This window comes from Homo sapiens, chromosome 7 (assembly GCF_000001405.40).
Source record: "Homo sapiens chromosome 7, GRCh38.p14 Primary Assembly".
Taxonomy (NCBI): domain Eukaryota; kingdom Metazoa; phylum Chordata; class Mammalia; order Primates; family Hominidae; genus Homo; species Homo sapiens.
Genome location: NC_000007.14, coordinates 14,375,237 through 14,397,347, shown reverse-complemented (window position 1 = coordinate 14,397,347; position 22,111 = coordinate 14,375,237). Strand labels below are relative to the sequence as shown.

Here is a 22,111-nt window from a genome sequence, read left to right as displayed (position 1 = left end):
GTCCACATGTTAACAGTAGGCCAACCACTACGCTTAAACAGAGAACGGCAAACTCCCACAGGTCAGCGCACTCACAATTCTTATCCCCTGCCCGGTCTTGTACTAGTGAAACTGGTATTTGTAACTTTAGCTCTTCATATAGTACAACACAATTATTCATACTAATAATCTAATTTTCTATCTTCAAGAACATTTAGATCATGTCCTGTCTACCTATGTAAAATTGCGAGAAAACATGTAACCCTTAGCAGATTTTCATGCCCCGCAATTTCTTCTGTATGTAAATTTCTCTCTCTCTCTCTCTCCCAGAAAGCTTGAAAAACTTATTGACCGGAATAATTTAATCTCTTCAATATTTCCATATAACATAATTTTTGTAATAAAAACCATGGAAATGAAATCGTAGCCATCTTCTCAACCTTATTCAAAGTTAGAAATTCGTCTTCCTCTGAATTAGTAAGATACAGAGACTACAGCAACTATTCTGCCTCTTTTATTCAGAGATCTGGCTTCAGTCTTCAGAGTTTTATTACTCTATAAACTCAGTAGATAGTCACATAGCATGGCAGCTTTAGCTAAAAGAGAGCTTGGTGTGGATTGAAGCATATTGTCACCCTGGTGTGAAATGTGTCCAGAGCACTTTAAAACATACTGCTTATAGCAATTTTAAAAATAAATACTGGTTCTGTTTAAATATGCCATCTGCTTTAACCTACATGTCATTAAGGTTGTTGAATATCATGCTTTTTGAAGAAGCCCATCAACAAATCCAAGCTCAAAACAGCCTTTTGGTCCATGGCCACACAGATGTGGAGTTTTCAGCTTTGAGGTGAACTTGAGTATCATCTTTGCATTAAATCTCAGTATGTAAGGTCTAACAAAGACTGATATGAATCTAAAATTAATGGAGTCCCTGATGGTAAGCCAACACAGCTTTCTTTTTGTAGAAAATATAATCTGTTAGTAATTAAATGAATGGCCCAAACTATTTGTTCCATGTAAGTTTTGATAATTTAGTCACTATGCAAGGCTAGGCTACTGTGCCTCTTGTTTCTTACAAGATATGCTACTTTATTTCACCTTGAAATTAATTGTTGTATCAAATAAACAAATCTTCAGTAAAATTTAGAAAAAAATGTGAAATTTTTCAGGTAACAGACTTTGCATCTATTCACAGTTAATATATTTAAAATATATTAATTCCTAACCTATAAATATACCCTTTCATAACAGAAGGAAATCTCATCCTAACCAACATGTAAGGTTAACCTGCCCTACCATTCTCCAGTGATATAGTCATATAATTACAGTCTAGAAGACTAAACAATTCATATATTGATGACTCATAATGAGGAAAGTTATATTGAAAGCAGTCCTTCAAATGTATAATTTATAACCAATAAATTTTACCTTATTGAAGTGAGACATAAAATAACTTGCAATGCATATAATTAGATCATTTTAGGGAAATAAAGCATTAACCCTTTTTCTTAGAGAAACTAGTAATCCAATAGGTTATATATAGATGTTCAAGAATTTTTTCTTAAATTCACTGTTTTTTATTATTGTGAAATAATGTATATCTTAATTTCTTTCAGATAAAATAATGTGAATAATAAATTAATGGAACCTAAAAATGGCTTTAACAGATTTAATATGTCAGAATACAGAATATTACATGTTTGGTATTTGCACATATTTTTACATATAGTAATATATCATTTAAACATGGTAGTTCTCTGAAATTTTTTACTTATCTGGATTTTAGAATGCTAAAATTCTTGTTTAAATCTCATCACTATATGGTGTTTGAACATCAACTTATAATAAGCAACTATAAATGTTTACCCATATCTTTAAACATAAAATGAAATTTTTCCTTTTTGTTACATTTCTTCTGGAAATAATATCAAAATATTGTGTAACAGGTTTATCTATTTAAAAAGTATATTTACTAAATTATAAAAATTATTTTGTTCCAAAAATGGCTTGGAAGAGATTATTTTAAGTATTTCTAATGTGTGAGCAAGAAAAACAGCAAAAGGTAGGGTGAGAGTAAGAGATACTAGTCAAAATATTTCATCATTGTATTCATTACCATAAATCAAAGGCACTATAAGATTTGCCTTTATGTTTGGAAGAACAAGCTTTTTATTGACTGTCTTTCATAATTAATAGCATTTACTCTTTAAATCAAATTAGTCTACTTTTCCTATTAAAGCCTTGCTGTAGGATCATTTTTTAAAGCACAAAATAACCTTGACAAAAATGAAGGATCGATAATATGTTGATTAGGAGTCTATTTGCTCTAATAGCAAAAGTTTCCTTGTTGTTAGTTCCTGTTGCAACACTCTCAGAGGTCGTAGTTCATTACTATCTCCTGGCAGTGGTATTTTCTACATACAGAAAAGTTGACCCTACTGAGCAAAACACTGATGGATTGACTTAGTCATATATATGGATTTTCTTAATACTTCTTTAATCAGCTCATTTTTGGATTCAAGATTGTGTTACAGGATATCCATCAATTGGGCAGGAAGAAGAGAACAATATGCTGTTGAACCTAGCATCCTTAGAATATCTTGAGTTAGACTTAATCAATGAGGGGTATGGGAGCCATGTTTTATGGCAGAAAAAAGAAAAGCTTAATGTGATTGAAGTTTCAGAAAATAAAAAAAAAATGGTCATTGATGGGGAAATGAATAGCAGGAAGAAAGGTGAAGATATAACAACAACTTACATGGCATTCATGTTCGATGGGTTGAAGCTAGAAAAGGTTATGCACAGCCACTGGATCCCTTGATGAATTTAAGAGAATTTCCTATGAAATATTGTTATTTTTAATACAAAGTGGCCTCCTTTCCACTGTGGTTTCTGAGCAAAAGAACAAAAATATTTAAGCAACAATTCATGTAATGAACAGAAACAATTAATGATATATTCTTTGTCAATAATATATGAGGATGAGCTGGTCTAAAATAAATCTATTCAAAGAAAAACAAAGTTTGCTTTGAGTAGCCAAGAGGAATGAAGGAAAAATGAGATGCAATTAAGCAGAGAACAATTTAGTATAACTCTAATAGCAAAGTCTTTAACGATGCTTTGGTACAGATAAATTTGATTTAGAAATATCTCCCAAGTAAGTTGTGGAAACCCATCTCTTTAGTCACTTAAATTTGGACAGGCAAAAGTTAATATGCTGAAAGAGAAAATTGGAACCTTGGAAAGGAGCTAAATGACCTAATTGATCTTTTCCATCACTGATTTCTAGATACCACTGTGAATTAAATGACAAAAGGATAATTTTGTGCTATTTAAGATAAAAAGAAATGAACTGAACTAAGTGCTTACTTTTTTTTTTTCTTTTTAAAAATTCACCATACAGCCATGTCCAGCTAGCTCCCCTCAGATTGGATCTGTGTCACCAGACTCATGTTGTTCTTAGTTGCATGGCTCTAAGGTGATATACACAATCTTCATGTTATATGTAACATCAGTTCAGAGAGGTTGCTTATGGTTTTTCTAGACCAAATAGTAGACACAGAGTTTCTCGTTCAGATTTAGAACAAAGAAATCGTTAGACACTATAAAAACATTATCCTTGAGGGTTCTCTAACCAAGGTGGATTAATAAGATAGTTAAATAGATGGTGAGATGAAGGAAGAGAAGATAAAGGCCTAAAGATGTTGTATCAGCTAAATTAGCAATGTAAATATTTCATGATCCTTCGAGAGCAGTGTGATACACTGGCACTGGGATTGGCAAACTTTTCCTGTAAAGGCCAGATAATGAATTCTCATACTTTGCAGTCCAAGATGCAAAATTAAAGATATTTATGTAGATTATTACATCAAAAGAAAGAATAAATTTCTACATAGTATGCATTAATAACATTAAAAATATAATATTGAGTGCTTTTTTAAATCATATGGTATACTAATGAGAAAGATGGTTATTTGTTTTGGGGAAGTAACATTTTGCTTAATAGTGGTTCAAAATTGGTGTTCGTTGTCATCAAATCAGTTACACATACACAAGCTGTATAAAAACAGGTCTGTTGACCGGGCGCGGTGGCTCACGCCTGTAATCCCAGCACTTTGGGAGGCCGAGGCGGGCGGATCACGAGGTCAGGAGATCGAGACCATCCTGGCTTACACGGTGAAACCCCGTCTCTACTAAAAATACAAAAAATTAGCCTGGCAAGGTGGCGGGCGCCTGTAGTCCCAGCTACGCGGGAGGCTGAGGCAGGAGAATGGCGTGAACCCCAGGGGGCAGAGCTTGCAGTGAGCCGAGATCGTGCCACTGCACTCCAGCCTGGGCGATAGCGAGACTCCGTCTCAAAAAAAAAAAAACAAAAACAAAAAACAGGTCTGTTTTGGCCCTCAGGTTATAATTGGCTGAGCCCTTCCCTGAAATGCTTTTGATGTAGCACAGAGCTATTTCTGTAGAAGTTTTATCTCCTATGTGAAAGGATGTTAGAGAAATTCTTATTCCAAAGCTATCTTGGTATATAGAATAAATGTCTTCTAGTCAGTCGAATGTGACTGATCAAATTCTTATTTTATTCATTGTAATTGTTTGTTATAGCCACTTTTTGCGAATGGGATTTGGAATTTCCAATAGGATTTGACCAAACTCTTTTGTTGTCAACTACTCTCCACTTTCTGAGTTTAGACAACAGCACCAAAACAGCTTCACTCAGTTAATTCATTCTGTCAATGCCACTGCATGCCCTGGTAAGACCCCAGGGACACACATTAATAAATTGTCTAAGCTTCTGCTGCAGAAACAAAATAGTAGTCTTAATTTATAGTCATATATATTCATTTACATATTCATTTATTTATATGTTCTTTTAACAATCATGTGTTGAATAAATAGTACGTTCCATTCACTGATAATTATGAGGATGCAGAAATAACTTATGTTTCTCAGAAAAGTGATTATATCATGTTAACGCAATACAAAACAAAATAAACAACTAGATTCTCACTACCTTTTTGTGTTGGCAACCTCATCCAGTACTGACAACTCCCAGATAAAGGCTATAACCTTATAATCTTGAAAGGTTTTGACTGGCAAATTAAACCTTATTGATATAATAATATTTCTCTATATATGTTAGTGTTTCTCAAACATCAGAATAAAAATGAAGCTAATACAGAGAAAATTTACATGCATTCATACCTCCAAGTCAGTTGGTAAGAAATGTTTCCTGACAAGTAAGAGATAGATACATTTTGGTATTGTCAGGTTATGCAGACATAACCTGATTTCCAAATTGTTTTGGAAAACACATGAAATGTATATTATAAATGTACTAAGAGTTATAGTTCTTATGTAAATTTTCACACCATTTAAGTAAAACTTTAATAGGGATGTTGAAGTATAATCAAACATGAAAAATCAACTCAATTTTGCAAATAAATTCTATCATTTCTATCTGATTCTCATTTCATATGATTAGTAAAGTCTCTCAATATTATATCATTCCAACGCAATTTTAGAATGAGAATACAGTGAGCATTTTGCATTTATTTTAACTTTAAGCATGTGAACACTACTGAAGAATTAAAAGTATGAAAATCAAGTGTCAATATATCTAAAAGACGGAGAAGAGCCCTTTGTCTTTACCATTCTTTCTTTTATTTTTCCTGACACAGGGTCTCATTCTGTTGCCCAGGCCAGAGTTCAGTGGTGTGATTACTGCAGCCTCAACCTGCCAGGCTCAAGTGATCCTCTCACCTCAGCTTCCTGAGTAGCTGGGACTATGGGACTATAGGCATCTGCCACCACACCGGGCTAATTTTTCCTTTTTTTTTTTTTATTTTTTTTTCTTTTGTAGACCGGCCATGTTGCTTAGGCTGGTCTTGCCTGGGCTCAAGCGATCCACCTGCCTCAGCCTCTCAAAATCTGGGATTACAGGCATAAGCCACCATGTCTGGCCTCCCTTATCATTCAAGTCACCTTTTTATCTCCTCCTGGGAAGAACATCAGCCATCAAATAAGTTGGAGAATATGAAAGGTGATAGTGAGAAAGTTGACTTGGCTTATGAGGAGCAAAATCTGTCACAGTCAGATTCTCAGCATAGACTTCTTCAAAATACAGCAAAAACCAAAATAGATAAAATTCTACATTTCCATGCAAAAATAGTTGTTAACTGAATTCTTAAAAGTGAATTTAATGTGGCATTAATAATCGGTAAAGTTATTATTTAATCACAAAATACCTCTAGCAAGTGTAGTTAACAAACGTATCAAATTGAATACAAACTTTTAGGTTGATTTTTACTGAATTTAATTTTTCCCCATAAAAGATTTCCAAATAATTAAGTATTCTCTCTAAAACAAACTTTCTGGCAATTGAAGAGGTGAGTCCTTGAAGAAGGCAGCAGTAAAAATCTCTACAGAACAAGTCAGCTTCATAGGCTAGCTCAATATTAGGCATTAATATAATAACTTTCATTCCTAAATGAGTATATGTTGCATACATATTCTACCTTCTAAATTCTATTGTGACTATTTTATCTAAATAATTATATTTCCCTTTATTAATTCTGTTGTGATAATTTTACTTTAAAAAATTATGAAAACAATCTCTAAATGAAATACATGCCAAGACTTAATAAGAGACACCTGGGACCTTTGGAAACACTATTGTTTTTGTTTTGTTAAAGAAATGTCTTGGATACCATAAATACCTACATTTGAAAGTTTCAAGTAATCATAATTCATTTTTGTCTTTGTGGCTCTTGTTAAGAAATCAACAAAATAATATAAAAATTAAGTGTATAAAATAGCTCAAAATAAATTATTCCTACATTATCACTTCTTCATATGAAGCCAGAATACATGGATGGAATTTAAAGGAGAATTTTAGTTTATCAAGTTGAAAGGCAAGGGGAAATTAATTTCTTCAAGGAATGGTCTTTTATCCAGGATTCTTATCTTCTAAAACCCTCAAAAACTGCATTGCCAAGCTGTTAGTACAGTCATTTTTAAATTATTAAAGTAAAATTAGTAGAAGTATGAGATTCTCCATTTGCTGACAAGGAGAGGTGGAAGCATGTTGGTTTGCTACATCAGGAAAGTTCTGATAGCTTTTACTGTTCAGAATCACAGGAGTATTTAAATAAAAACATTCAAGAAGGACTAGTAGGAATAATGAGAGACTCTCTAGCAAATACCCTTATGTATGTATCATAGTATACTCAGAAATGGGCAAGTAGCATTTCCTAGCTTGAAACAGCAGTATGATATGCCTCCTCATACTCAAATTACTGCCTCACCCTTACTTAGGGTTTTTAGGCCATTTGCCAACCAGTAGAACTTTGAATTATAATTTCCCCCTCACTGTGTTGGAAGTGTCTCACTCTAAAGGGGGTTGAATGGGATGCCCTCACCCTTTAACTTTAACAAGGGCTGCTGATGGATGTAGTCCATTTAAATGTACAACAGAGAGCTGAACTAGATAACGAACTTATTATTCCTCTCAGAGGATTATAGGCTAGTCCCAAAGGAGTTCAGTAAGCCAGAGAAATCCATATCTACTGGCTAAACAATAGCCAGAAGGCTGACTAGAAATATTGATTTACTTTCTAGGCCATTTAGGCCTTAATGGCGGAGAAAAGCTGAAGTGCTGTTTACTTTTCTGCCAGAATCGACCAAACAACCAGTCCATTTTTTACAGGTTTTTGATTGATTTCGCTTAGAGGAATTAGAGGTGATTTATTTTTAAGCTGAAAGCAACTTGTAAATATCTTCAACGGCACAGGTTCCCTGAGAGGAAATGTTAAGTGGAAATACTTATTGAGAAAGACTTTGTTGCAAATCAATGGGAACAGGTACCATGGCTCGCTGTGAGCCGTCAGGTGTCAGACACCCTTTCCAGAGCCCTGTCAGGACTATAATCTCATCCCTTCAGCTACTCTTCTTTTGAAAGCTCTCAAGTTCACCAAGCTTGAATAAATTTAATCGCCTGACTGAATTTCAGCCAGATGCACCCTGCTGACTTTCAAAGGGTCCTAGATGGGACAACATAATGGTGTGCAAGGCTCACATGGAGCATTTTCTATGTTTGATGGGTGAAAACAGTAATTTATCACACAAGTGGCAATTTTCCATGATTCCTCGGTCCCACACAAAGAAAATGTGGAACTCCAACAAAGGAATAAAGCAGACACACAAAAGAGGCCTCATCCGAAATGCTGCCATATTAGTCTGACTTTTCAAAATACATCAACTCTTAAATCAGTGATAATATTGAAAGCTATACCTCAGCAATAGCAGCAAAAAAATGATTTGTAATTTATTGTTCAAGCTGGCAAGGTCTGAGGAGGCTATCATGAAAGGGCAGTGACTGTTTTAAATGATCATTCCAAGAGTGCTTGTCTTCATGCTTAGAATGAGTTAACAAAGGGGTAAAGGACAGCACTTGAAATTCTATATAAAAGCCCTCTGTTCCAGGTTGGTAGGAGAGAGAGAAGGAGTTCAACAAGCTTCTGATTTTGTCTCTGTGCTCTTTCCTCAGTTGTCACCACCACATCCACTATCTTGTAAATGTTTTTGGAAATGGTGCTGCTTGGGAGAGTTGTCAGTCTTCTTTTTTCTCCATCTTCCTGAAAGAATTTTTAAAACTCTATTATCAATAGAAGTTAATGTTTGAACTTTGGAATTTACTAATTTACTTATTCTTACAATTTTAAAAGATATAATATCAATCATTTTTCATAAGAATTTCTCTTCCTGCCAATAAAAGTATAGTTACCTACTGCAGAAAATTTCGACAATACATAAAATTTTAAGTGTTGAAATGATGACTTATTATCTCCTCAGACTAGAATCAGCACTGTTGTCTTTTTAGTATTTTTAATTTGTCTTTTTTACTTAGATATATATATTTTATATATAATATATATACACATATACAAACACACATCTACATACATATATATTTAAGTATGTATATACACTTAAATATATGTATATATTAAAATATGTATATATATTTAAATGAATATATGTATATATTTGCTTAATAGTTTTAAACATAGAACAACTGCATATCCACTTTTTTTTTTTGGCTTCACATTATTTCAGGATCATTTTACCAAATCTGCAGAAGATTTTTTTTTTTTTCCAAATTATGGCACCACCATTTTCTAGCAGTGAGAGTGAAAAGGACATCTCACGTCTGTAATCCTAGCACTTTGGGAGGCCAAGGCGAGTGGATCACAAGGTCAGGAGTTCAAGACCAGCCTGGCCAAGAAGGTGAAACCCGTCTCTACTAAAAATACAAAAATTAGCCGGGCGCAGTGGCAGGCGCCTGTAATCCCAGCTACTTGGGAGGCTGAGGCAGGAGAATCACTTTAACCCGGGGGGTGGAGGTTGCAGTGAACCAAGATGGCACCACTGTACTCTAGCCTGGGTGACAGAGTGAAACTGTGTCAAAAAAAAAAAAAAAAAAGAAAAGGACACTTCAACTGATGATACCTGTACTAACCTATAAAATGGGAATAATAGTAGATTCCACACCTTATAAGATTATTGAGATAATAAAAATGTTGAAAAGGAAAAAAAGTAATATGACTGATGACCCATCATTTAAGTTTATAGCTCTAAACTTACATGAGGCTAGGCATGGTGGCTCACAACTGTAATCTCAGCACTTTAGGAGGCTGAGTCAGGAAGATCACTTAAGCCCAGTAGTTCAAGACCAGGATGGGCAACATAGTGAGACCCCGTCTCTACAGAAAACAAACAAAACAATTAGCTGAGCATGTTGGCACAGACCTATAGTCCCAGCTACTCTGAAGGCTTAGGTGGGAGGATTGCTTTAGCCCAGGAAATTGAGGCTTCAGTGAACCCAGATTATGCCACTGCACTCCAGCCTGGGCAACAGAATGAGACCCTGTCTTTTTTTTTTTTTTTTTTTTTGAGATGGAGTCTCACTCTGTCACAAGGCTGGAGTGCAATGGTGCCGTCTCAGCTGACTGCAGCCTCCGACTCCCTGATTCAAGCAATTCTCCTGCCTCAGCCTCCTGAGTAGGTGGGATTACAGGCACATGCTACCTCGCCCAGCTAATTTTAGTAGAGACGGAGTTTCACCATGTTGGCCAGGCTTGTCTCGATCTCCTGACCTCGTGATCCACGCAACTTGGCCTCCCAAAGTGCTGGGATTACAGGCGTGAGCCACCGCGCCCAGCCAAGACACTGTCTTTAAATAAATAAATAAATAAATAAATAAATAATCAAAAGAAACAAACAAAACTGTTTTACATGAGCCTCATATATATTTTTACTTTCACAATATAATAATTAGCTCCCTGACTGCTTTCGGCATCCATTAATAAAAATAGCAAGTACCATTTAGTACTTAATATTTTAATGACTATTTTAATAGTCATTAAAATAGCAAGTGTCATTTAAAGGAATCATAAGTGAGAAAGAAGGCTTCTACTAGATAATTTTAAAAGAATAAACTTAAAAATTACTTTAATTGATGTAAATAATGTTTCTCTTTCCTTTTTCCTCATCTTTTGTCCTTCTGCCACCCACCCTCAGAATATTTGATCATTTAGAAGAGGCCAAGCCTCCTGAGAGAGTTGTACCTGAATATGCTGATAAACTTAAAAGACCATTTTGCTAGAGTTCATCAGAGGGACAGTTATCTACAGCTTTGCTGTAATTACTGTAGACTGAGGGCAGCAGTAATTTATGGGCTGACAATTTTCACTTTCTTACTCACTTATCTCTTGCATTTCACTAAAATCTGTGCAACTATTTCAGCAACTGGCACATGGTAGTGTCACATTCCTGTGGCAAAAATTACCTTATCGCTGCAGGGCTTTCTTGATGAATGAGGTTGCTTAATTAGAAGGGAGTTATACATACATGATACAGGAGTCACGTGTTAGGGCAAAGGGCCACAGGCAGCCTAGATTTTCTAAGTGTAGAGGTGTGAGACAACTCATTTTTATTTTCATTCTGAGAATTTAAATGGAGATATTTGCTAAGAAAAGTATGAAGTTCAAAGAAATTTTTAAAAAATCATATCTGAAAGTGAAATACATCGGTAAAGAAAACAACAGCTGTTATCATGGAGCTGAACTGGATTTGAAAACGCTAGCTTAAAACAATGATTATAAATGCAATACTGCATCATTACATTAGAAGCTTTCAGGCGTACAGCACTAGCTCAAGGCAACATTTCCCACATGGCATGTGAAATTATCTTTTCAAAATATATTAAAGTTTCTATGTTCAAATAAGTTCAAACAAGTCCCACAACCATTACTTCTGGAAACTCACAAGTAACATAACATTTTAAAGGCTCTACGATGGTTTAAACCTTAGTTTTCACTTCACTGAAATTTAGCATTTTCTTCCGTTTGAATGAAGACAACAAGCTGTAGTAATATTGGCAGTACTTGTGACTTTGTCCCCAACAAAAATGACAGATGTTTTCATATCACATCACCGTTATTGCAGCTGTCTTGAAATATTATTTGTACTCACTACTACTTTAAAAGTATGGTAGTTAGTAGACCTACTGCTAGATCTTATTATTTAATGTGATAATAAAGAGATGCTTACATTCATATATCACCAGTTTATTTTTGTTTTGTTAATTACACTTCAATGCAATTTATTTGATACCCTATACATTTTGCTTTATGCATTTGATCACATTAATTTGAGAAGAGATCTGCGACTGCCAATGGGATTTATCACACACAGAAAAAGAGGGTTAAAAGCCTTTGCTATAATTGAACTTGTTAAACTCTGTAAAAGGTAGTAATCTCCAAATTCATTTACTTAGGAATTCTTTTATTTTTCACTCTGAGGACCATGTCTGAGGACCATGTATGAATAAGTCATCCATGAAAAACTGTTTAGAAGATTCTGCCATGATATCTTCTCCTCTGACCTAGTACATCTTCCCTGGACCTAGTCTACAAATAGCAGCCTCATCAGGTTTTACATTTCTACAGTTCCTAGGTTTCTTCACCACCAGTCTTCTGAGTGCCATTAATATCCTGGAGGTAAACAGTGAACCTCCCAGATGATGATATGATGAGTGTTCTTCCTCTAGTACTTTTGGCCATGGAATTCATTTTTCTCCCTCAGAACAAAACTCAGGAGTTAGCATACAGCATGCGTGACATTGTGTGTGAAACACTGTGTCAGTCCGTTTGAGGTGATTAATGGAAAACTTTGAGCTACTAATTCAGATAAAAATGGTGTTTTCATTCGGAGAATAAAAACAAGGAAGGAGTACAGCAAAACCTCCACCACCAAGAAAGAATGCCACAATTATTTTTACCGAATGCCACAATTATTTTTACCTTTAAGGAAAGTAATTCCTCCTTTTTGTTATTGACAACTACCTATTCGGTCCTAGGGAGTTCTCACTTACCATGGAGTTTCTCAGTCTTAGCACTAGTGACTTTTGTGCCAGATAGTTCCTTGTGTTGAGTGGCGGTCCTGTGCATTGTAGGACGTTTGGCAGCACCCCTGGCCTCTGCCTATCAAATGCCAGTGGCAGCCACCTCCCAACCCCAACTTGTGACAACTAAAAAGGTCTCTACATATTACCAGATGTCTCTGGCAGACACAATTGACCCCAGTTGAGAACCACGGAGGTAAAGGTTTAGTTTGTGTTAGGAAGGAATTTGCCATTCTTTAGGAACGTCAGAATCAAGTTAAAAACTGATTAATCTGCTATATAATTAAGTAACTATTAAGCAACTTTTCAGGTGAGTTCTGTGGGCCCTAACTTCTAAGTATGAGGGAAATTCATTGTGTCATGTATTTTGCTTTGCCTATGCCAGGGGTCAGCAAACATTGTCTGTATGAATCCAGATAGTAAACACATTGGGTTTAGTGGTGGGGGTATCTAATACAATTACTCGGTTCTGCCGATATAGAGTGAAAGCAGCCACTGACAATATGTAACCATATGAGAGTAACTGTGTTTCAAAAAAACTTTATTTACAAAAAAGGAAGTCAAGACAAACTTGGCCTGTAAGCTGTATTTTGCTAATCCTTGCCCTAAATAGAATGTAATAATTTTAGGTCCAGAATTTTAAAAATGCTAAGGTAGAAAAAGTTATTTATTTGATATATTTTTAACTAACCAATCATTAAACCAAACTGATTTTCAAATTTATCATTGTCTTATCTAAAAATGTACTTACGTAAATTAAATTAGCTTGGACTGTTTCTCAAATATGTTAACATTTTGGTATCATGCACCTAAAATTAAGGTAGGAATGACTAAGTGGGTTGTTACTGAATGCTAGGCGGTACATACCTCATGTTTAAAAGCCTTTCAGTCCATGATTGATGATGACCAAAGTATGGTCAATCTTGGTCCTCATAAGCACACTACATGCTTTATTAAAACATCAGTATGAATGCCAATTAACATGTCCTCTGTTGACAGGCTGTGCCAAATGACACCACTTAATAACCACGCTCTCTTTCTCGCTTACTATTAGAACCCAGATTTGAATTCCAGGATGATAATGCATTCAGCTAAAAGACAACACCTTCCAGCCTCTTCTGAAATTTTGTGTGGACACATAACTAAGTTTTGACCTGTGAGACGTATGCAAAAATATTGTGTGAGACCTTCAGGACAAATGCTTAAAGAAAGTTGACTCAGTTAGGAAGGAGCCTCCTTTTGCTCTCCTTAGTTTCTTCATTCTACTGGCCTGGTACATTGATACGCGGGCTGGAGCAAAAGAACCCACTTTGGATCATGAGGTTAGAAACCACACATTGGAGATGGCAGAGCAGAAAGACAGGAATCTGGGCCCCTGATGACACTGGAAAGCCAACACATAAGACTACACACTTCCTGACTTACTCTAAGTGAAAAAATAATAGACGTCTGTTTTCTTTAAGCTAAAATGATTTGGACTTCATGATATATGCTGCAAAATATGATCATAATTGATTGCAATACTCTACAAGTTTAAAACTGATTCTAAATATCATTTGATGAAAGTCAAGTTTATCTAGGAAACATTGACTTTCTTAGGTATTGCTTTAGGAACTGGTGTACCGCAGATATAACCAGGCATCAGTCCCCCCTAAAAAAGGTGTGCAGAGACAAGAACTGGTATTTAGAGACCCGGTGATCTCCTCAGATGTTCTTCCCTGAGATTAAAACAATCCATTATAAACAGGAGATACTATTGAAAATAGAAAAACAAAAAGCAGTATTCCAGTTGTACCTTGTTTTTTACCATAGGTCTTTCACTATGGTGTACTCCAAAAGAAAAGGAGAAGGAAGTTCTTGTTCAAAACTGTCAAAATATTACCAAATTGTTAGTCAGAACAGGGATGAGGTTATTCCGTTTCTCGCCTGGACACCACATTTTTATCATATTTTTATCCTTTTCTTAATTTCCTAAAGGATTCCTTCTGGCCCCTTCCTCACCTTCTGTTCCACTGTTGCTGCCCACTGGGCACCATTGCTGCTGCACAGTTCACTCTGGCTGGGGGTCACCACCATGGGCCATTCAGAGATTCAGAGATATTGTCCTAGCCACATCTATTCTTCAAGCACTCTCTGTTATTTCTTCCCAATCTAGAATTACAGAAGAAAACCAAAGGGAGTAAAAACAAAACTTTTATGTTCCTTCATATCATAAATACTTCTCTCTTAAAAGTTACCTATTGGGTTCTCCAAATGTTCAATTTCCTGTGAGTTGCTATTCTGACCCTTAATACAGCAGTAAATTTTCTAAGCTGGTTATACCTATGAATAGAGATGTCTAAAAATTACCCCTGTGAATAGGATCAAGTGTTTTCCTTCCATAAGGCAAACTATAGTTTCACAAACTTTAGGATATATGTGTGTATGTGTCTGTGTGTGTGTGTGTGTACAGGCATGCACATATGTAAGCACTGAAAAGATTATTAGCAATAGATAATTGGAAATGCAAAAAAAAAAAAACTATGTATTTGAGTGAATAGAGAGGCATCTTCCTCTCTATAGGTTGTATGTGCCTTGTTGAATAATCCTTTGGTGGACAAAAAAAAAAATTGCCACTGTTTGTATATCTGTGCACAAGGGCTGGGCTCTACTGATTACGGATAAGAAATTCATGGTAGGCATATCCCCAGTCTCCTCTTCTAATTGTGCTCTTTCTTACTGCATCTACATGCAGCTACTCGATCCTTCTTGGCGGGACTATCCAGACAGCTGCTACCAGCCTATCAGAGGTGAACCTGAGACAAAAACTATTTGCAGTTTAGACTTAATTGATTTGTGTAAATACAAAGGAGATGAATGATAACTGAACTTGAATTCATGTCAAATGCATAACTCAGACTCCAAAAAGAAGTCATACTGACAAAACAAAAGATTTTACTATAACAAAAACTTTGCAGAATCAAGAACTAGAGCTCTGGGTTGCTTGCTGAGTTTGGGTGCTATTCCTCCTTAAGTACAGATGGAAACTGAAACTGTAGCAAATATCATTACTATTCCTCTGGGACCAATATAATTTAAGAAAACTTTTGTGATTTGTGATTACAGTGTGGCTAGAGACAGGAGGAAGCTGGGCACAGTGGCCTGCACCTGTAGTTCCAGCTACTGGAGAAGCTGAGGCAGGTAGATGCACTTGAGCCCACGAGTGCAAGGCTGCAGTTCAATATGATCACGCCTGTGGATAGCCACTGCACTCCAGCCTGGGCATCTCTAAAGAAAATAGACAAAGCAAGAGGAAACTGGGGAAGACAACTATTTCTACCCTCCCTTTAGTCACACAGATTTCACAGGAATGCTTTTCTTTGGTAAGATTCATTAGTTAGATCACTCTACTCCTGTAATGTCATTTACTCATCTCTAAAATATGTACACACATTATTCCTACCTCAAAGAATTGTTATCTGAACTTAAAAAAATAGTACATGCCAAGCAGTCTGCATGATATCCAACACACAGAGGACATTCACTAAGCCTTCAATAAGTCCGTTATTCAAATTATTATCTCAGGCCTATGACTGAAATTGTCAGGACCTGGAGCAAAAGTACAAATGGAGACCCACATAGCACATTCCTATGTATTTTAAAAAGTTTTAAATCACCCTGACCTACTTGCTTATTGGCATTAAATAAAAGAGGCTCTACCTTATTGATTACCTTGGCATGACAACATTGAAGGCCAGGTTCCAACACTGGAGTTTCTCACCTAGAGATGGCAGCACAGAGAGAACGAGCCCCTGAGCTCTCAGCCAATGGCCTTCTCTCTTGTTTTCCCGCCCACAGCTCCATCATGCACTGTGAGGAGCCTTCCTTCCAACTACGAGGTGCCCCAGGCAGCACATACCTTCTGCATGTAGTAGTTCTTTACTTTGAAGAACTCCTTGGATTTAATCTTCCTATTTTAAAGTTCTTAACCTTAATTACATCTGCATAGTTCCTTTTGCCATGTATCAAAACATAATCACAAATTTCAGGGATTGGGTGTTGGTAGCTGTTCTGCCTAACGCAATGTCTGTAGAATTAAAATATAGTCCATATGCTTTGATTGCTAAGGAAATAAGAAATCAACAGTTAGAAAGAAAAATTGGAAAAAATATATACTATTACAGCACAATTCTTTGCACTCAACAGACCCTCAGAAAAACATATTTAATCAATGTGTGATGAAAGCAATGAATACTCCTTATTATTAAATTTGTTTTCTAATAATCACAAAATATTTAAAGTTAATAAGAATAACACTATGTTGTGATAATTAACCACATAATTATATATTTGGATGATGTGTAGAGCTGGTATATATCCTATTTGAACACATAAAGCAAAATGAAAACAATATGAGTGATATTTATTTTCTATGCTAAATGGAACTTTTGCCAAAACAGTAAAACAATGTGATTATTTAACTGTATTTTTAAAGCACTCTGGTATGTTTATATGATTTACATTGAGAAGAATTTTATTTTCTTTAGAATAACCACTGATTATCAGACTTTTCATCCTCTTTTCTTCACCTAACTTCCAAATGATTTTATTCCTTTTTCAATTAGGCATAATTAAAAACATGCTGCCATTGTTTATTTTTATTTTTATTATTTATTTATTTATATATTTATTTTTAGATTGAAAAGGGGTTTCTAAATGTATACAGTGTTTATAAATCTTTTAGGGCTGGGCAGTGATAACTGTTTTAATCACTGAAGACAAATTTCTGCCAGTTTTGGATATAGCGAAGTACGCAACATGTATTGGATCACTTCAATGGGGACATAACTATAATTGCCAAGCACTTATTAGTATAGAGTTTCCACCAGCACTTCAGCTGGACTTTACAATTACCAAAACCAATTCCTGACTGCAGCCTCACAGTGAATTTAGAAGAGGAATTATTGTATTAAAAGCAACTGCTTAAGGCCGGGCCCGCTCGCTCACGCCTGTAATCCCAACACTTTGGGAGAGGAATTATTGTATTAAAAGCAACTGCTTAAGGCCGGGCCCGCTCGCTCACGCCTGTAATCCCAACACTTTGGGAGGCCGAGGCGGGCAGATCACGAGGTCAGGAGATCAAGACCATCCTCGCTAACACGGTGAAACCCCGTCACTACTAAAAATACAAAAAATTAGCTGGCGTGGTGGCACGTGCCTGTAATCCCAGCTACTCAGGAGGCTGAGAGAGGAGAATTGCTTGAACCTGGGAGGCGGAGGTTGCAGTGAGCCGAGATCGTGCCACTGCACTCCAGCCTGGGCCGCAGAGTAAGACTCCATCTCAAAAAACAATAAAAAATAAAATAAAAAAAGCAATTGCTTAAAGCCAGCTGAAGTCATCCACTAAGGGGTTACTAGACACTAGTCAGAGCGCTCCCCACTCTCTTTCCTTATTCTCTGAATCACCAAATTTCTCAATAACTAGCAAGAAACAGAAAGTGGAAAAAAAAAAAAAAAAAAACTCCATAATTTCTTTGAGTCGCCTAATGATGGATTTCATCCTAGAATTTCTAGTAGCAGTGGTGCGTGAACTGGAAAGTTGGTTCAACAAAAATGATTTTGTACATGGTTAAGAACTTACAGATGATGAAAAGAAATGGGAGCTCTTATTTAAAGAGGGTTTCAAAACAAACACTCGCTGAATTCAGCATAATGAGACAAGAAAATGAAGCCAGAGAAATGAATTCCATTTACAAATAACAAATTTAGAAAATGAAGAAGTCTAGTGTAATGGGAAAAAGTCTTAAAAATGTGTATGTGACATAATTGTCTGCAGTACTCTCAAAAAAGGATGTTGGTAAAAACTGAAAAAAAAAATGAGATTTTTTTCCTCAGATGACATTTTCCCCAATCTCATTATGCTTTACTTTATTTTTAATCAAAATTTCCTCCTATCCATCCAAATCAGTTTTGCTAACAACCACTTTCCTGCTTCACCAAAATGCGTAAATATTTATAATGGACAAGAGCAAAAACATAGATTGTTTTTTCCCTTTTAAATTCTATTTGCATAATCATCTAGTATAAAGGAAGCCTGAAGAAAATGAGTAGGTAAATATTTTTAAGTACACTGTTGATTTAAAATAAGGGACTTTCTGCACATTTTGAATTTTAAGTTTTCAGTATATGTCCTGCTGCAGACCTCCTTCTAATTCTGAGTGTTTTACACAGAAACATATATAGGCTGAGGCATTTGATGTCAGTCTCTAATGCAAATTAATTATCAATGTAGCTAGGAGAGGTGTTGGATCATTTTCTATCCTCTACAAATATTGATTGTATCATTCTCTGGGATTTAAGTGACTTTTTGAATCACTGAGGTCCCCTTCTATCATCCACAAATTTTTTAAATAAATTTTTTATTTTGGAATAACTTTAGATTTACAGAAAGTTTACAAAGATGTTCCATAGATAAACTGAATCCATTTTATCTACTTTTCCCTAAAGTTAGCATCTTACATAATCATGATACACTTTTCAAACTAAAAATGAATATTCAAAACCAAGAAATTAATATTATCGTGCTTTTTGACTCTGTTTATGTGGGCAAATGGATTAGAATATCATCTTCTCTTCCCCTTGAAATGACTGGATCTCAAAAGAGAATCAATGTTCGTAAAGAGGTCAACTTCAAAATTAGTAGCAGAAAAAAGGGACCCCATGAGCCTAGAATCAAATGCATTTGTCTTCCAATATGTCCTGCTTTCAGTGGAAGTCTTTCATTTTCATGGTTACGAAATGTAACAATTTTGGCTCAGTCACCCCTGGTAAAGTCTAATCTATTTCAAGAATGTCTGACTAAGTAACTCTGATGTTTCTACTATACTCCAGAATCACAGGGGGATTTTAGTAGGCTAGCAGATCCAGAAAATTCTGAACCTAGGAAAAATCCTTTGTGGATTAGAAAGACAGAAGTTTTAGGACATTATCAAAGGAGCTCTCTGAGAAAGGGAGAGTATTATATTGTCCACAAAGAGTCTTTGATGGGACAATCCCAAACCACGGCTGTGAAGAACTGTGCAAAAGGAGTATAACCTACCCTGGGAACTGGAAACTGGATTTGGCAAGAATCCCAGGAAGATCCCAGGGACCCAGGAAAGTGATCTAGCCAAAGTAAGCTACATGGTGAGCAATGGGGATCAGTCAGGGTATTTCATTGTTCCCACAGGCATCTTGGGGGCCAAGCTAGGTATACGGTTTGGATATACACTGTTTCAATATGCAACCTTTTTGGCTGCGTTTGTTACCAAGTTACAAGTACACAGTATATGTTTTTATTAAAATCACTTATCAAGTGTTTTCATACCTGTCCTAGAAGATAAGAATGATTATTTAGAAGTTTTAAAATAGAAGACAGAAGCATGGCCCTCAAGAAAAGAAAGTCCATACTTTAAATCATAAAGCAAATCAAAAAAAGTTTAACAAGACTACCATCAATGCAATTTTTCATTTTAAATTAAATCACGGGAATAAAACAATTTTCTTTTTTCTTTCTCTCTTAAGAGCTTAGTACATTATAATAGATATGACATTGAGTGATTGTTAAATTAATGAAACCATTGTTAGAGTTCTCTACAAGTTTAGAGATAGATTTATAAAAGGTACATTTGGCTGGCTGGCTGCTCAGCCCTATTTTTGTCCCTTTTAGCTTTGAAACAGCCTAATCAGGAAACAATTCTGCACTGTGGGTCAGAGGAAAAAATCCCTTGAGACAGAGCTCAGAATATCCTGACACAAAACGGTCTCAAATTTAGGGGTTCTCATGGTTCAGAACCCCCCATCCTATAACCCAGATGCTGTCACATCATATCACTTAAATATGTAAAATGCAGAGACAATTATACTCACATTTCCAAGAAATTAGCTGAAGTTACATAGTCCACAATGTGGCCTTGCAGTATGGGTCTCTTGAAAAACTTGCCCCTGGCTTTAGGGACTGAAACTCAAACTCTCACTGTCAGCAAAATTTCCCTTTCAAGTTGGGTCCTTTATAGAAAAGCTTACTTCTGCTTCGAGGAACAAGATTACAATTTGAATGTCACTAATCTGCCTCTGTGGAAATATCTAGGCACCCTTATTCATCCTAGAAAAGTTATTTAGTGCAAAGTGTTCATAAAATGGCTTCTCACACGTTTAGTATTCAAACAGGCAACACATGTGCTACTGAAGGGGCTGGGGGGAGTCATGGTTTTATAAGGTTTTTATAATTCTAGTTCCTAAAATTTAAAGCACTGTAACAATGGTTTCATTAATTTGTGAATCATTCAATGTCATCTCTGCTATAAAGTACTGGACTTTTAATGGGTTTAGGGAGATAGGAAAATTATTCGTATGATTTAATATAAAATGAAAAATTGCATAGTTAGTAACTTTGTTAATTTTGGGGGCATGACCTAGTAAAATTTTCATCTGATGTAAGGTTATTTTTGTGATGAGAGTATACATCTGTTTCTATAATTTCTGAGACAAGAAGGATAGAAAATGTATTTTAAAAACAGCATGATGGATTTAGGTTACTTATATAAATTAAGGCGAATTTTCAGAAATATAAAATGTTACCAGGGTAGATTATCACAGCAGGTGATCTTGGTGAACCATGAAAAATTCTCTTGGCCCAGTCTGATTTTGGCCACAGCTGCTGTGGGTGCCTCGGGCCAGGTCAAACTCAACCCTGGCTGACAGGCCACCAACACAAGTGCAAGCTGGTTGTCTACCTGCTTTCTGCCTCAGGGCCTTCCTCTCTAGAAATTAACTATGGAGGCAGGAGAGAGTCACTTCTAGTCTCTTTTACCCTGGATTATCTGTATGTACCCTGGATTACCTGTATACAATTTGCATGGTCAGTATTCTTGTTTCTAGAAAACTAAAATGAAAGCATTCTTGAAACAAGTTTGAACCAACATTTCACCCCAAGACTGTATGCCTAGTTCAAATACTAAGACCTTCATGTAGAGGATTGAAATTTACTCATCCTTTATTCAACAAATGTTTATGGTGAACTCACCAAGTGTGAAGCATGTTTCAGGTACTGAGGATTTAGCCTTGCAAGAAAATCACTGCCCTCGAAGAACTTCCAGTCTTTCAGAGGAGAGAGGCAATCAAAGTAAAACAGCAGCATTTCAGATGGCAGGAAGTGCTATCGAAGAAAGCAAAGCAGGAAATGCCAGCGTGAGGCATCTATTTATAATTTTAAATAGAGCACTCAAGAAATCCTACCTGAGAAGGTGACATTCGAAGAGAGACCTGGAAGGTGAGGAGGAAAGGCATGTGGTTAATAGGGGGAAGAAACTTCCCAGCAGAGGGAACAGCAGTTATGAAGAATCAAGGCAGATCTATGAAGCCAATACCTGATCTGAAATGAATACTTTATTCTCTCTGAATTGTGATTTTGTCTTTTGTCAGATGAAGCTAGCTAGTGCTAATTCATTGTGAGGACTGAATGTATTATTTTATGTAAAGCACATAGTACATGTTCATTACCTCTTAGCTCTTATTATTATCTCTCACTCAGTTTCATCCATTCTACTCACAAAAGAAACATCAGCAAAGGCTTTTGATTCAGCCAATGACATATCTAAAAGAGAAAAGAGAAAATTAAAACTGTTACACTGCCTGGAAGCTTCT

General features: G+C 35.9%; 1 protein-coding gene and 1 long non-coding RNA gene across 24 annotated transcripts in view; one reads left to right on the top strand and one right to left on the bottom strand.

Annotated features, from left to right (window-relative positions):
* The window catches only part of DGKB (diacylglycerol kinase beta), an 829,810-nt gene that overhangs the window by 577,511 nt on the left and 230,188 nt on the right, over positions 1–22,111 (top strand). The gene's annotated exons all lie outside the window — the stretch shown is intronic.
* On the bottom strand, positions 10,537–21,593 carry LOC105375164 (uncharacterized). 2 transcript variants are annotated; one of them, XR_001745100.2, is made up of 3 exons: positions 20,336–20,449; positions 16,347–16,550; positions 10,537–14,599 (listed from the first exon to the last, which is right to left on the bottom strand). It is a non-coding gene; the product is annotated as an uncharacterized LOC105375164 (long non-coding RNA). The 2 variants fall into 2 exon arrangements; XR_927053.3 differs by lacking the exon at positions 20,336–20,449 and adding an exon at positions 21,492–21,593 and having other exon boundaries at positions 14,186–14,599.